Source organism: Homo sapiens, chromosome 20 (assembly GCF_000001405.40).
Source record: "Homo sapiens chromosome 20, GRCh38.p14 Primary Assembly".
NCBI classification, from domain to species: Eukaryota; Metazoa; Chordata; class Mammalia; order Primates; family Hominidae; genus Homo; species Homo sapiens.
Genome location: NC_000020.11, coordinates 34,629,981 through 34,644,890, shown reverse-complemented (window position 1 = coordinate 34,644,890; position 14,910 = coordinate 34,629,981). Strand labels below are relative to the sequence as shown.

Here is a 14,910-nt window from a genome sequence, read left to right as displayed (position 1 = left end):
ATTTGGTTTCTGGACTATATATAGTCTTGAATTTTCTAGCTCTGAGATTCTATGATTGGCTTTAATTGTGAAGCCGGCGTGGAGGGCATTCTGAATTTGTCCTAAGCATTTTGCCAAGAGATTCTGTGAGTCATTATGGAAGAAGAGGACACAGGTTTGAGGCTTTCAGGGGCGAGAAGCTTCAGAATTGGGATGACAGGTCTATGTTTTGAGAGCATAGCAATTTGAAACACTTGTCTGGGATTGAAAATTTGAGTCAAGAAATACCCAGGAAGCCCACTGAGGTCTTCCTTAGTAATTATAACAAACTCTATTTATTGAGGACCTACTGTGTGCTAGGCACTTGACATACATCAGGCATGCAAAGCAGTGGGTATTATTTCCATTTTACAAAAAACATAAGTATCTTGCAATTCTAGAGCAGATATGGGCCACTAAACTGAAGTGAACCTAGATGGGTCCTGATCCTCAGGGATTTCCAGTTCACCCTGCCTGAATGGGCCTTATCTTTGGGTAGTCAAAGTGAGGGTTGAAGTTCTACCTGATTGTAAGAGTCCAGTACTTGGTAGTCCATCACTATCTCAAAACTCCAAGCCCTGGTAGCACTCTAGTACTCTTACACTTACTGTGTTCCATTTCCTATTATTTCTCTTTCTTTTGACAGATAACTGATGCACTCACTGCTATTGCCCTGTATTTTGCAATCCAGGACTTCAATAAAGTTGTGGTAAGTAGTTTGTGGGTGGAGCAAAGCTGGTGGAATTTGGTAACCTTCTGGTCTTTGTTATTACAAAGATCTTATACTTAAGGATCCAGATGCTTTAAAGTGCTAGGAAGTGATGGTGAAACTTCTGGCCTGTTCAGCCAGCTCTGGAATGATCAACCCCAAACCCACAAGACAGCTTTACTAACAGATAAAGAAGGGCCAGCTTCATCTATGTAGCTTATTAATAACTATTAATATCCACATACCTGTGCAAGTTCAGACTTCTGGAGTAGTGCTGAATAACAGTTATATTACCTGTCGTTAATGAGGACCCTTAAAAATCTTCTAGTCTTTCACCAGTCTTTTTTTTTTTTTTTTTTTTTTGCATAGGAAGATAAATACAGCTTTTAAGTCACTGTTATGCCTATCTGAGGTAAAATTGGATTCTCAATGTCATTTCTGTCTCCCTGCAGAAAGTAATCTTAATTGGAAAATTTGACATGTATTAAATGCCTGATATAAACTTCAGTCTTAATCCATATGTAATAGCCAAGGAGAATTGCATAGTGGGACCATTCTTCTTTTCCTGGGGTCTGAGAAAGTTAACAGATTAACCATGTGTACTACCCATGTAGTTAAATGGCTACAACACTCCTTGATTGGCTGGGAGCCACTGAGAGAGAAGATTTAGGCTGGGGTGAAATAAGGCTGCATCTCATTGGCATTGTCTGTTTGTGGTTCATTTTAGCTTTTGTTACTAATGAAACCAGAAATAGCAGTGTGCTTTCTGTGTCACTGGTCATCAGTGACAGATGAAGCTGGTGAATTCTAGAATTTTAGACCCCAGAGAGATTTTAAAAAATATCTAGACTGAGGGTTCTTAACTTGGCCTTAATGGGCCTATAAAACTGTGGAAATGGTATGGAGAATTATATGTGTGTGTGTGTATATCATTGTTTCCAAGAGTTCATAGCTGTTATTGGTGTGTGGTCTTTGACTCTTCCTCTAAAATTAAGAACTATATTTTAGGGACTTAGTATCACCAAGACCAGGGAGTATATATCTTAAACTAATGGAGCATATCTTGAAAACTTTAGGGGCTGAGATGAAATGCTTTAACAGGATTCTCTTGAGGGCCGTAGATGAAATAATTGGGCATGGGTTTCATAAGCTGAGGAATTCAGATATAAATTAGCAGTGACTGTTCTCTTCTCCGAAATAGGTTGGGTAGGTAGACAGTCTCTACCAATAATACAAAAATTAGCCAAGTGTGATGGTGTGCACCTGTAATCCCACCTACTTGGGAGGCTGAGGCATAAGAATCAATTGAACCCAGGTGGTGGAGATTGGAGTGAGCCAAGATCGCGCCACTGTACTCCAGCCTGGGCAACAGAGTGAAACTTTTTGAAAGTGAATCTCCAAAAAAAAAAAAAAAAAAAAGACTAGGGAAAAAATAAACTTGTGTGTGTGCATATATATATATATATATATGAGATATGTGTGTGTGCATATATATATATATATATATATATGAGATATATATATGTGTGATATAGATATGAATAGCTGAGGCAGGATTGGTAGCTTTCATCTAAGACCACAATTACCCAGATCTTTATAACCAAAATGTAAAACTGAACTGTGTTTTAATGAAAGTTGATTAGATGCTAATGCCATATGTATTTTTTTTTTCCTGCTCAATTCTCATCAAAAAACCTCTCACACTCCCTAGTTAAAACAATTTTTTGCTTAAGACCAGCCTGGGCAATATAGTGGGACCCTGTCTCTACAAAAAATTCTTTAAAAAATTAGCCAGGAGTGGTGGTATGTGCCTGTAGGCCCAGCTACTCTGGAGACTGAGACAGGTGGATGGCTTGAGCATGGGAGGTCAAGGCTGCAGTGAGCTGTGGTCATGCCACTGCACTCCCGCCTGAGTGACAGAGTGAAACACTGTCTCAAAACAAAACAGTTTTTAATGGTAGGGTTAGTTTATGAGGAAGCAATGAAACTAGGTTTCAGTTAATTGCCTAACAAAGTCAGGCTTCAATGTCAACAGGAGAGATGCCTTTAATTTAGAGCACCAATAATTTGTTTGTTATTGCTGAGTTTATTTGGAAATATATAGAGATTTTTGGGTTTTTTTCTTTGCATGATTTAAAGAGGGAGAGAGAAAGCCAAACGGTGTTGTCAATACCCTGGTTTTTAGTGCACCAAGACATTCTGTTATTACCAAGACTGAAGTAAAATTTGGAATGTTTTTGTTTTTCCACTTTTAGAGTTCAGACTATTAGAACATTAGGTTTCTTCATCAGAATAGAAGTTTTATGTATGCTCTGTCAAAAATTAACTCATTTTAAATGGCAGATTTTGATGATACTAACATACTACTGTTGATTTAGGTAGGATAGCAGCATGTCTTCCTCTAAATCTTCTTCCCTTTGTCAGAAGGGTTCATATCGCATAGTCTGGGAAGTATTTAAATCTTGGTGGGATTTGAGTCTTTTTATCCTTGGTAATGAAACTATGTCTACACACAGATGCATCTGGGAGAACTATAGGGCAGAGAGGGGACTGCACCCCCACCCCCTCTCCAGCTGTTAGCCTGCGGACTGAATGCTGATGGTGACCAGTTGGTTATCATGACATTTTACATCTATCTCACTTGACAAAAACAATGTTAGTCTAGTCTGTCCTTTGCTGAGATGGTGCTTCTTGTTTGGAACTCAGAATTTATGTTAAGAGAGCTGCAGGTGGTTTGATAATGGATGATAAAAACCTGTGTCCCCTTAATATGATTAGAGGGTTGTAAATTTGGAGGCTAGGCTCCTGAATTTGGAATGTGCTGAGGCTAACAGTTGGAGAGGAGTAGGGACAGGGGTGGAGTGTTTCCTCTCCCCGACCCCACCATAGTTTTTGGGGATGCAAATGAACGTAGATGCAGCTTCAATGATTAGAAAAAGCCCTTTATAGCCGGGCGCTGTGGCTCACGCCTGTAATCCCAACACTTTGGGAGGCTGAGGCAGGCAGATCACGAGGTCAGGAGTTCAAGACCAGCCTGGTGAAACTCCAGCCTGGTCAGGAGTTTCAACGTGGTGAAAGCCCGTCTCTACTAAAAATATAAAAATTAGCCGGGCGCGGTGGTGGGCGCCTGTAATCCCAGCTACTTGGGAGGCTGAGGCAAGAGAATCACTTGAACCCGGGAGGCGGAGGTTGCATTGAGCTGAGATCGCAACACTGCACTCCATCCTGGTGACAGAGCAAGACTCTGTCTCCAAGAAAATAAAGCCCTTTATTTGAAGTAGGGGAATTATGTCCTGGCAAAACCTATCTTTCAAGGGACAAGGAAAGGGCTGTATAGAGGAGTGGGTGGAAGGAAAGGAAGACTCTACCCTGGAGATTTTTAAAAATTAAAACATTTTGATTTTTTAATATAACTTACATATGGAAAAGCATACCATCTGTCTACAAGCTGATTAGTGATCACAAAGGTAAGATATCCAGGTCACTACCCTTCACATCACTTTTAATCTCTCCTGTCATTGTTTTAAATCTTATCATTGTCAAGACTAATGAATGTATCTAGAAATATTGATCATCAGATTTTAATATATACCCTAACTTCATTTTATACTTATATTTTCTTAAGGGGTGTGTGTGTGTGTGTGTGTGTGTGTGTGTGTGTGTGCGCGTGCGCACATGTGTGTATAATTTTAAAAATTTCCATTGATTTTAGCCACTTTCCTGTCTCTAGCTGGATGCAATAGGGATTTTTAAAAGGGATTTTGTCTACACTTAGGAGAGCTGATATTGGGCCTATGAGGAGAGCCATAATAGTGCCTGTGCTGCTGAAATTGAGGGAGACTAGAAAGCTGAGAATGTGGGGATTGCTGATCTGTGTGCCTTCCCACCTGGAGACTCCTTTCAGAAGATCTTTCTGTTTTAAAGTATTTGAGAAGATTGTGGTTATAAGGAAGTACTTCCATTGCTGGCACAGTGTCACCTTTGCCCAGGATGTACACATCCCGGGTAGTTGCCACTTTCTCTCAGTGCAGCCCTGCTGGCTGGCTTCCAGCCTGGGGAATGAGGTCTGCATTCCCACCTGTCTGTCTGGCTGCCCCTGGATGAACTCTATTCCTTTCTCACAGCCTTCTTTGTGGATCTCACCCACTCCAGGTGGCCTTGTTTTTGCTGCAGAACTCTAGACCTCTTAGCTAGTGAGGCCTCCTTCCTGCTACCACTGCTGCAGCTGTCCTCACTAAGCACTTGATTGCTGAGCCAGCCCCCTTCTCTGTGATAAAAGCACCTTGGTTTATATTTTGTCCTTTTAATTAAACAACCCCAGCTGTGAATGGCACCATAAATCTTACTGATAATTCCCACCGCTTAACTTGGACTCTGCCAACTGTGAGAAGAACAGAGATGATCAAAGGGAGGTTTTTGAAGTTTGTTGCAGGTTTTCAGATTAAGCCTCTACCTAAACCTGTGCAAGTTTAAACTGAAAGATGGTCTTCTAAAAATATTTTTTGGTTAATTTTTTTTTAATTTTGAAAGACCTAAGACATGCAAAAATAGATAAAGCATAGTACATACTTTTGAACCTATTTTCGGGCTGAAAAAAATTTACTCCTACAGCTCTCTCTCTCTCTCTCATACTTTCATCTCCCTATTTCTCCTCCTACCCAGTACCACTGTTCTGAATCTAGTGGTTATCATCCACACACATGGCCTTGACTTTTATTATATATGTTACTAAATAACACATAGTATTATTTTTTATTTTTTTTGAGACGGAGTCTTGCTCTGTCGCCCAGGCTGGAGTGCGGTGGTATAATCTCGGCTCACTGCAAGCTCCGCCTCCCGGGTTCACGCCATTCTCCTGCCTCAGCCTCCCGAGTAGCTGGGACTACAGGTGCCCGCCACCATGCCCAGCTAGTTTTTTGTATTTTTAGTAGAGACGGGGTTTCACCATGTTAGCCAGGATGGTCTCGATCTCCTGACCTTGTGATCTGCCTGCCTCGGCCTCCCAAAGTGCTGGGATTACAGGCATGAGCCACCATGCCTGGCCCCCAACACATAGTATTATTTTACATGCTTTTAACTTCATATAAATGTCACAATGCAGTATATTTTCTAGTGTGATCTGCTTTTTACATCATTAAATTTTTAATCCTTCACAGTTAAGCACAGCTATCTTGGCTCCTCTGAAATACTGTTTTCTAATAGATAGCAGCATTGATTTTATATTGTCTAAATGAGATTCTTTGATCATTAAATCAACAGGGCCACCGATTTTGGTTTGAGAGGCTTTCTCATCTATATTCTGACCCATGTTTGCTTATAAGATTGCCTACCTTTCTTTCACTCTGGAACACACCCATGAACTTGTTAGGACACACCAGCGGAAGGCAAGAGCTTTCCACCCCCATCCCACTCCCTATTAACTATCCAGCTGCCCACCCACACCCAGCTTTCCTCCTCTTGATCATCATGGCCATTCTACGCCTCCTCTGTGGAAGTAAAACATAACCCAAGATCCTGTGACATTTGGGATCATTCTACCTTGCTTGACAATACTTCTTCATGGATGGAACTTTGGAGTCTTTAGGCCACTGATGATAACTCTTCAAATGGCTATGAACTTTGCTTTGCCAGCAAGTCATTCATTTAGCCATTCAACAGATATTTATTGTTTGTCCACTGTGCCAGGTGTTAGGCATACATGGTAAGCAAATAAACATGGTCCCTGCCCTCATGGAACTCTTAGTCTAATGAGGGAGACAGACATTAGTCAATCATATAAATAAGTGAAAAAGTTACTAACTGTGAACATATGTGAAAGAACATATATAACAGGGGGATTTTACCTGGGTGTGGGGTGGTGAGGGAAAGTGTGCCTTCCTAAGGAAATGATGATTTAACTGAGATATAAGGACCATGTGGGAGTTAACTAGGGAAAGAGAAGAAGAAATTATTCCAGGTCAAATGCAAAGGTGTGGGAAAAGGAGGGACACAGCATGTTCATGGTGCTGGAACCCAGAAAGGGGATGGGGAGGGCCGAGTGTGAGATGAGCCTGGAGAGGTAGGGCCAGACCAGGCAGGGCCATGTGGGCCATGGAAAGGACTTTTGTCTTCAGCATAAAAACAATGGGAAGTGAATTGTTTCATGTGTTTTATCTTTTCCTTTTTTTTTTTTTTCTAGTTTAAAAAGCAGAAACTCCTCCTAGAACTGGACCAGTATGCCCCAGATGTGGCCGAACTCATCCGGACCCCTATGGAAATGCGTTACATCCCTTTGAAAGTGGCCCTGTTGTAAGTATTCCCTGACAAAACAGGCTTAGTGCCAACAAATGCGAGGAAAATCTGATGAGACTTTCCCATGTTGTTTGTTGTATTTTTGGAGATTTGCAATCTTAGTCATCAAGTATTTGCTGTAGTTCTGTTGCACAACTGGGCTCTGTTGTTCTGGCCAGCAAAAGAGACAGAGCCATTCTGTCTCTCTTGGGACAAAGACTCACACAGGGCTGTGTACAATCAAACCCTTCACAAATGCTTTTTGACTCCATGCTGATCTGGGTTCCAGCCTACTTATAACCAGTGTTTCTAAAGTTCTTCAATTGTGATGTATGGATTGAATAAAAGTTTGGTTTTTATGTGGCTGCCATTTCAAGCAGCTCTTATGTTTCGTGTACAGTATAGTCCTCCATTTGTAGCTTATAAAACTGAAGTGCCAAACAGATGCATTCCAGCTGGGTGACCCATGTGGAAGACTGGAACTTACTGAGGCTCTATGAAAGAATTCTCTAGGGTGTACCCAGTGCTACCATTAAGTTGTACTCTTTTGGGTTATTCCCATTTATCTTCCTGAGATAGGCAAATGTGAATAATTATTCAATCCACTAATAGTCATTGAATATTAATAATATACCAGTTTCTAGGGATATACAGTAAACAAGACAAACAAGTTTCCTCGTGGAAAAACACGCCCTTAGAACTTCAGAATTAGAAGGGGCCTTGTGAGACTAGTTTACTCAACCTTCTGCCTTGTGTGTGGATTTCCTATTCCCTATTAGATGTCTATGCAGCTGCTTCTTGAACGTCACCTGCTATTTAGAAATGGCTTTTTTTTCTTCCCACCAAATAGTTTTGGACTATCAGTTCTAATCTATGTATTTCAGAAATATTGGTGGGATCTACCTTAATAGAACCAGAAATTTAGCAACTTTATGAATCTCTTATGGACTTATGTGTGTCCTGGGGGTAGCTTTGTAATAGCAGCAGCTGTTTCTTTAAAGATTATGTAACAAGCCTGTCTGTAATTGCTGAAAAAAACCGCCAGCAATTTCTAGGCCTTTGGCTGTAGAACTGCTAATCTCACAGTCGTGGGAGGTATTGGATTTAAGGTCTTTATTTGTGAATAGTAATCATCATCTCTTCCTGAGACACTGGCATGTTTCTTCCTATCTGATAACCAGAATTATGTAACTAGTCTACCTTTTCACTTTCTCTGCCAGGAAACTCAGAGCCGAATTTGTAGCTGATTACTATAGTGCTGTAGAATATCCATTTGGTGGTCCTTCCATTGCCTTTACTGTCTCCTTTTATTTATGTTTTCCTTGCTCTTGATTATTTATTTATTTATTTGAGACGGAGTCTTGCTCTGTTGCCCAGGCTGGAGTGCAGTGGTGCAATCTCGGCTCACTGCAACCTCTACCTCCTGGGTTCAAGCAATTCTCCTGCCTCAGCCTCCCGAGTAGCTGGGACTACAGGTACCCGCCACCACGCCTGGATATTTTTTTGTACTTTTAGCAGAGACGGGGTTTCACCATGTTGGCCAGGCTGGTCTTGAACTCCTGACCTCAAATGATCCACCCACCTCGGCCTCCCAAAGTGCTGGGATTACAGGCATGAGTTATTGCTCCTGGCCGATTCTTTATTTCTATTTGTACTTTGCTATTATTTTTTATTATCTGTTCTTTGTTTTTTTGAGATGGAGTCTCACTCTGTCACCCAGGCTGGAGTACAGTGGTACAGTCACGGCTCACTGTAGCCTCTACCTCCTGGACTGAAGTGATTCTCCCACCTCAGCCTCCCAAGTATCTGGGACTACAGGTGTGTACTACCATGCCTGGCTAAGGGTTTTTTTATGTTTTTTTTTTAGTAGAGACAGAGTCTCGCCATGTTGGCTAGGCTGGTCTCGAACTCGAGCTCAAGTGATCCACCCACCTTGGCCTCCCAAAGTGCTGGGATTACAGGTGTGAGTGAGCCACCATGCCCAGCCTATTTTTTATTATCTGTTCTTTTTTTTTTTTGAGACTGAGCTTCACTCTTGTTGCCCAGGCTGGAGTGCAATGGCGTCATCTCGGTTCACTGCAACCTCAGCCTCCCGGGTTCAAGCCATTCTCCTGCCTCAGGCTCCCGAGTAGCTGGGATTACAGGCATGTGCCACCACGCCTGGCCAATTTTGTATTTTTAGTAGAGGCAGGGTTTCTCCATGTTGGTCAGGCTGGTCTCAAACTCCCAACCTCAGGTGATCTGCCTGTGTCGGCCTCCCAAAGTGCTGGGATTACAGGCATGAGCCACTGCTCCCGGCTTGTTCTCATTTTAGCTGCCTCAAATCCTTTGTGGAAGCAGGATAGAAATAAATACAAACAATTTGTTATGACTATCTAAGATTTCCCTACTCACAAACATTTTGAATTCATTTTCTCAGTTCATTCCTTCCCATCTCAGGAAAACACTAGGTGTTTCAGCTTATTAACTCCTTCCTAGTGAGGGTCCAGATGTCCTTTGAAGTTCTGTAACACTTGACTTGTTGAGCTCAGTAGATACTTATTCTGTCCTTGGGGTCTGGCTCAGTGGATTCTGTTTAACTGCCAAGAAGGCTACATCTAAGCTGCTTTAACTCTTGGATTGGCATGACCTGTGTCAGGGCTTAGGAGCCTGACTGAGGAAAATGTACTTTCCTGGTTCTCAGAGGTAAATGTAGCTATTCTTGAGATATGTGGCTCTGTGGGAATTGGTAGAATTTTATCATTTTTTGAAATCTGAAATAGTAAAATGAACATTTATAGAGCTAGAAAGACCTGATTTTGGATGTATTTATTAGTTTGTGAGATTTTGGGCAAGTCGCTTTACCATTGAGACTCAGCTGCTTCTTGAATGTCACCTGCAAATGTTTCCTCATCTGCAAAACTGGAATGATGTTATTGTGAGTTACAGGATCTCTGTGATGATTAAATACAACAGTTTTCCATATACTCCATAGAACAGAATAGGCAGTCCATGTTCAGTACCTTTTACTTATCAGCCTCAACCCCCACTCTATTCTCTTTTATTTGGGGGAACTCATTTCTGAGAAGCTGCCTTCCTTTGCGTAAGCTTTTAATAAATCTCTTGGAACTTCCTTGCTGTAATGGCGAGGGCTCCTTGGTCAGGATTACTAATGCCAAATATGTTTGTTCTTCCCCAGCTATCTCTTAAATCCTTACACGATTTTGTCTTGTGTTGCCAAGTCTACCTGTGCCATCAACAACACCCTCATTGCTTTCTTCATTTTGACTACGATAAAAGGTAAGGCCCTGAAAGGAGAGTACAAAGGTCAGTCCCTGATTTATGCAAGATTTTGCAACACTTGTGCTGTGGTTTTGTTTTGTTTTTTTTTTAATGCAACACTTAAAAACATTTTTAAAAATTACACAAGTAATACAAGATTATTTAGAAAATGTAGTCATGGCAAGAGAAAAAAATTAAAACATCTTGAAAACTTAACTTCTCAGACAGTGACTGTTAACATAGCTTTACAAAAAAGTTCTAGGCCAGGTGTGGTGGCTCATACCTGTAATCTCAGCACTTTGGGAAGCTGAGGCAGGAAGATCACTTGAGCCCAGAAGATTAAGACCAGCCTGGGGAACATAGCAAGAGCTTGTCTCTGCAAAACATAAAAAAATTAGCCTGGCACAGTGGCATGTACCTGTAGTCCCAACTACTTGGGAGGCTGAGGCAGGAGGATTGCTTGAGCTTGCAAGTTTGAGGCTGCAGTGAGCTGTGATCATGCCACTGCACTCCAGCCTGGGTGACAGAGTAAGACCTTATCTCTTAAAAAAAATTAAAAAAGGTTCTAAAAGGCTTATGATTAGAATAGCAGCCTTCCTCTTTCTTCCCACCCCTAGTTCAACTTCTTTGAAGCAACTACTTTCTGGCTTTTGCTAGTATTCCATATTTCTAAATAAGACCTTATATTATATTTCCTGAATTATAAATTTTAGACATTATTTGTTGCACTCCCATCATGGACAGTGATAAAGATTTAGCTCTTTGGGGCCAGGTGCAGTGGCTCACTCCTATAATCCCAGCACTTGGAGGCCAAGGCGGTTGGATTGCCTGAGATCAGGAGTTTGACCAGTCTTGCCAACATGGTGAAACCCCATCGCTACTAAAAATAGGAAAAAAATTAGCCGGGTGTGGTGGTGTGCACCTGTAATCCCAGCTACTCAGGAGGCTGAGGCAGGGGAATGGTTTGAGCCAGGTAGGTGGAGGTTGCAGTGAGCCGAGATCTCGCCACTGCATTCCAGCCTGGGTGACAGAGCAAGACTCCATCTCAAAAAAAAAAAAAAATTTAGCTCTTTGGTACCAATATCCCCTTTTCCCCTTTGCCTGATTTTCCTGTAGTAGTTACACCATGGTTTCTTGTTTATTTGTTTTGTTTTTTCTTGTTTTGTTTTTGAGACGGGGTCTCACTCTGTCACTCAGGGCTAGAGTGCAGTGGCAGTCATGGCTCACGGAAGCCTTGACCTCCCCAGCTCAGGTGATCCTCCCACTTCAGCCTCCTAAGTAGCTAGGACTACAAGCACCCTCCATCATGCCTGGCTAATTTTTGTATTTTTTATAGAGACAGGGTTTTGCCATGTTGCCCAGGCTGCTGTCGAATTCCTGGACTTAAGCGATCCACCCTCCTTGGCCTCCCAAAGTGCCAGGACTATAAGCATGAACCACCACACCTGGTCAACATCATAGTTTTTATTGAATCAGTATCAGCACCTATATTTTACAACACTGTGTGTGTTATTCCACTGCTGGGCAAAGTAGTAACTATGACTACTTTTTTCTTCCATGTACTACCTTTTATTTTTCCTGGGGTTAATAATTGTCTTTTATTGCTTGTTTGGTTTTTTGCTTAGTTTGTGGGTGCCAATCACTGTTTTATTCCCTGGTTGCTCCACTAGATCTGTCAAGTACCTAACAATGTTCTTTTTTTTTTTTTCTTTTAACAACACTTAAACACATCAAATAGTTTATAGGTTTTATTGTTTTTCTGGAGATTTTTCTCACACATCTTTTATCCTACCCCAGTCTGTCCTGGTTGTTCTCTGGGCCTGGTATAAAGCTGTCATACTGGAACTTAACTTCATAAATCTCCTGTTCTGTATCCCTCCTCTCCTGGAGTTCCTTCTCTTTTTTATTGATTTTTTTCTGTTTTTCTGAAGTACTTTCTCAGTAGTTGTCTAAGAAAGGGTGTATGAAGGCTGGGCGCAGTGGCTTACACCTGTAATCCCAGCACTTTGGGAGGCCAAGGCAGGTAGATCACGAGGTCAGGAGTTCAAGACCAGCCTGGTCAAGATGGTGAAACCCCATCTCTACTAAAAACAAAAAATTAGCTGGGCGTGGTGGTGGGCACCTGTAATCCCAGCTACTTGGGAGGCTGAGGCAGAGAATTGCTTGAACCTGGGAGGCAGAGGTTGCAGTGAGCCAAGATTGTGCCACTGCACTCCAGCATGGGCGACAGAGTGAGACTCCGTCTCAAAAAAAAAAAAAAGGGTATATGAGATATATATTTTGAGTTATTCCATGTCTAAAAAATATCTTTGTTCTGGTTTAGCACCAAATTAATAGTTGGGTAGGATTAAGAATTTTAGACTCGAATAACTTTTCCTTTAGAATTTTGAAGGCATTGCTTCATTGTCTTCTAGTATCTTGGTAGCTATTGAGCAGTTTTATGGTCATGGATATAACCCAGTTTTTTTTTCCTGAAATATTTAATATCTTCTGGCCAGGCACAGTGGCTCAAGCCTGTAATCCTAGCACTTTGGGAGGCTGAAGCAGGAGGATCTCTTGAGCCTAGGAATTTGAGACCAGCCTGGGCAACGTAGTGAGACCTCATCTTTACAAAAAATAAGCAAAATTAGCCAGGTGTGGTGGCACGTGCCTATAGTCCTAGCTACTTGGGTGGCTGAGGCAGGAGGGTCACTTGAGCCCAGGAGGTTAAGGCTACATTGAGCCAAGATAGTGACACTGCACTGTAGCCTGGGCAACAGAGCAAGACCCTGCCTCAAGAAAAGGAGAAGAAAACACGGTGAAACCCCGTCTCTACTAAAAAAAAAAAAAAAAAAAAAAAAAAAAAAATATATATATATATATATATATATATATATATATATATATATATATATATATATATATATATATGGTTAGCCGGACATGGTGGCTGGCACCTGTAGTCCCAGCTACTCAGAAGGCTGAGGCAGGAGAATGGCATGAACCCAGGAGGCGGAGCTTGCAGTGAGTCGAGATCGCGCCACTGCACTCCAACCTGGGCAACAGAGCAAGACTCTGTCTCAAAAAAAAAAAAAGGAGAAGAAAAATTAAGTGTCTTCTTTTTATCCTGAGCGTTTTGAAATTTTATGATGCTATGTCTGGACATGCGTCTTTTTAAATTCATTATGCTGAGCACTTGGTAGGCCCTTTCAATATGGAAACTAGTGTCTTTAGTTCTAGAGGGTGTTCCTGAACAACTTTTCCAAATTCTACCTCTGTTTTCTCTGTCCTCTTGTTTTGGATGTTTATTGGATGTTGGATTTTCTTGATTGATTAAGTTATGCATATTTTATTTTCTATTGTTTTTCCCATCATTTTTACTTACTTTCTCTTACTTTTTCTGGGACATTTCCTTGTTTTTATCTTCCAGCTCCTCTATTGAGTTTTAACTTTTATTTATTACATTTTTATACATTTTTATCTGGTCTCTGGTTGTTTCTTTGAGGCATCCTATTTTTATTTTATCACCACAGTATCCTTTATTACATCTCTGATTATACATATATATTTTCAGTTTCTATTTGTTCCAAGCATAGTCTCTTTGTCTTCCTGGTATTTTTTTTTAATTGTTTGTTTTGGGAGGATTTCTTCCATATGATTTTCTTATATGTATGGTAATCCTTGCTGTTTCTATTTAAGAGTGAGACATGGCCTGGCACAATGACTCACACCCATAATCCCAGCATTTTGGGAGGCTGAGGTGGGAGGATTGCTTGAGGCCAGGAGTTCAAGACCAGCCTGGACAACATAGTGAGACCTCGTCTCTACAAAAAAAGGAATTTAGCCCGGTGTGATGGTACTTGCCTATAGTCCCAGCTACTCAGGAGGCTGAGGCAGAAGGATTGCTTGAGTCTAGGAGTTTGAGGCTGCAGTGAGCTATGATTGTGCCACTGTACTCCAGCTTGGGTGACAGCCATCTGTAAAAAAAATAATAATAATAAAAAAAAATTTTAAATGAAGCACTAACATATTGACTGGAGACTCCGTGCATGGGCAGGGCTTGTTGGTGGATCATTTTCACTGTACAGGGAATCAGGCAGTGGGCTGGCCTCTTTCTTTGGGTCGGGGGCATTTACAAATGTCATCATCTGCAGGTTTTATTTTCCTTTGCAACTATTCAGTTTTCCCAAAGAGGAATCCTCTGAAGTCCTGTCTGGGGTAGCAGAGTTAGGGTTTTTTTGTGGGGTGGAGGGTGCATAAGACTAGCTGCTGGAGTTGTGAGAGCAGGAACAGGGAAGGTGGCTGGTTTCAGTCTGGAGACTTTATTTAATCTCATTGCTTTTCAGCCCACACCTCTCCTCAGCCCACTACTGTGCAAAGTAGTTCCTAGACTTGTGCCCTTAGTTAGCTTTCTCCAGAACTGAGGTCTTCTGCAGGTAGAGTAGAAAGTTAGAGGGATGGGTTATGCGGGAATGGTCATTTGGCTGCACATAGTTGGGGTAACACCTGTTGTTCTCAGTGGTCTGTATATAAACTTTCAACTTGATTTTTTTCTCTATGCCATACCCCCACCTCCCATAGCACCTGATGCACTCTAGTGCTGAATTTCTCAGAAGTTCTGTGGGGTGAGTTGGCTGATTTTTATTAGTAATCCTCTTTGTAGGCCACTGAGC

The 14,910-nt window shown here is 41.5% G+C and overlaps 1 protein-coding gene across 2 annotated transcripts in view; it reads left to right on the top strand.

Annotated features, from left to right (window-relative positions):
• The window catches only part of PIGU (phosphatidylinositol glycan anchor biosynthesis class U), a 116,551-nt gene that overhangs the window by 32,202 nt on the left and 69,439 nt on the right, over positions 1 to 14,910 (top strand). For both annotated transcript variants that reach the window (XM_017027664.2, NM_080476.5), the window contains exons 4-6: positions 665 to 727; positions 6,906 to 7,015; positions 10,176 to 10,276. In XM_017027664.2, coding sequence (XP_016883153.1) covers positions 665 to 727; positions 6,906 to 7,015; positions 10,176 to 10,276 — 274 coding nt within the window. The remainder of the gene's footprint in view (positions 1 to 664; positions 728 to 6,905; positions 7,016 to 10,175; positions 10,277 to 14,910) is intronic.